This window comes from Homo sapiens, chromosome 17 (assembly GCF_000001405.40).
Source record: "Homo sapiens chromosome 17, GRCh38.p14 Primary Assembly".
Lineage (NCBI taxonomy): Eukaryota > Metazoa > Chordata > Mammalia > Primates > Hominidae > Homo > Homo sapiens.
In genome coordinates, this window is record NC_000017.11 from 62,120,525 (window position 1) to 62,122,407 (window position 1,883).

A 1,883-nucleotide genomic window follows, 5' to 3' on the forward strand; every position below is an offset into this window, starting at 1 on the left:
GAGGAAGAGACATTGCTGTTAGGTAAAGGTCCATCATTCAGTTGCTCGTGTCCATATCTTATTAGTGAAGTGCATGTGTGTGTATCTCAACCACAACTTCTGGTGTTCTGGGAATGTACATTTATTTTCCTATGATACTAAGTTTCTATTACAGGTTTCCATTCTATCAAGTGCATCAATCAGGATGTGGAAAGAAAACAGAAAGGTCGAGTGCGGTGGCTCACGCCTGTAATCCAAGCACTTTGGGAGGCCAAGGCGAGCGGATCGCCTGAGAACAGAAGTTTGAGACCAGCCTGACCAACATGGTGAAACCCCGTCTCTACTGAAAATACAAAAATTAGCTGGGCGTGGTGGTAGGCGCCTGTAGTCCCAGCTACTCAGGAAGCTGAGGCAGGAGAATCGCTTGAACCCCGGAGGTGGAGGTTGTAGTGAGCTGAGATCACGCCACTGCACTCCAGCCTGGGTGACAGAGCGAGACTCCGTCTCAAAAAACAAACAAACAAGCAGAAAACAGAAACTGCTGCAAATGTTTCAGGCAGGAAGGGATTTAATATGAGGAATAAGATGTTTATCACTCTTTGGAAAGGGCTGGGAGAGCAAAGGTCCGGGAAAACCACCACTAATCTGAGGAAATAAGGAAGTTGCAGAAATCTTAAAAAGCTATCTCAGCTGCCTGCATAGTCAAAGCAGAGGGAATTCAGCAAGACACCCAGAAGCCACTGTAAAATGTTCACAGAGGCCCACGTGCCTTTGATGTTGGAGGAACAATGGTGGCTTCTGCTTCTCTTTCACCTTTCAAACCTTACTGGAATGCCTCCCATTGACTGAATCTAAACAAGGTTGTTATCAGGAGAGCTTGGGGAAAGTAGTCACTACAAGTACTGGGAGTCTTACAAGAATAGAGATGCTTACAAGAATAGAGATGTTTCTGAGTACCAACAGACAATATCTGGCACATGGTGGAAATTTAATCTCAGTTAATTCAATGATCCTTTACTCTTTCCCTGGGTAACAAATGAGTTCTGGGCGATGTATGTATTGTCAGGCACTGAGGCAGTGGGTGGAAGGGAGAGCGTATTCAGTTTTTATGGGACCTGAAGTTTATGCAGCTGGGGAGGAGGGAGTCTATTAAAAACAATTAAAAAAATACAAAATGAGATGCAAATATGAATTTTTATTTAGAATGAGAAAAAAACCACCACAAAATATCAAAACATGATATTTTTATTATGGTGTTTTTCAGCTTCATAATTCATAATTGGTAATGTCATGTAAATGTTTAGAATTCTCCAGCCGGGTGTGGTGGCTCACGCCTGTAATCCAGCATTTTGGGAGGTTGAGGCAGGCAGATCACAAGATCAGGAGTTAGAGACCAGGCTGGCTAACATAGTGAAACCCTGTCTCTACTAAAAATACAAAAATTAGCTGGGCATGGTGGCACAAGTCTGTAATCCCAACTACTCAGGAGGCTGAGGCAGGAGAATTGCTTGAACCTGGGAGGTGGAGGTTGTGGTGAGCCAAGATCGTGCCACTGCATTCCAGCCTGGGCAATAGAGCGAGATTCTGTCTCAAAAAAAAAAAAAAAAAAAATTTAGAATTGTCAAGTCTGGTAAAACTTCTACCAAGTATTTTTCATCAAGTAGCTATAAGATTTTTGAAATATTAATCTCAATTTTTGAATTGATTAGCTGATTAACCAGTTTATCGTCGATGTCCTCATTGCAGTCATACAAGTTTTAAGCTATTTTTCTCAATGTTGGCACTTTGTGTCATATCTGAGAAATTTAAATGTTTTGGCTGGTCTGAGTGCAGTGGTGTTTACAACTAATTGATCACAACCGGTTACAGATTTCTTTGTTCCTTCTCCACTCCCACTGCTTCAA

At 42.1% G+C, this 1,883-nt stretch overlaps 1 annotated feature.

Annotated features, from left to right (window-relative positions):
- Positions 546-1,071: an enhancer, noted in NCBI's record as "NANOG hESC enhancer chr17:60198431-60198956 (GRCh37/hg19 assembly coordinates)". NCBI's record gives its function as "activates a minimal SCP1, AML or CMV promoter by ChIP-STARR-seq in naive H9 embryonic stem cells {active_cell/tissue: H9 hESC(naive)}" and the evidence as "EXISTENCE:reporter gene assay evidence [ECO:0000049][PMID:30033119]".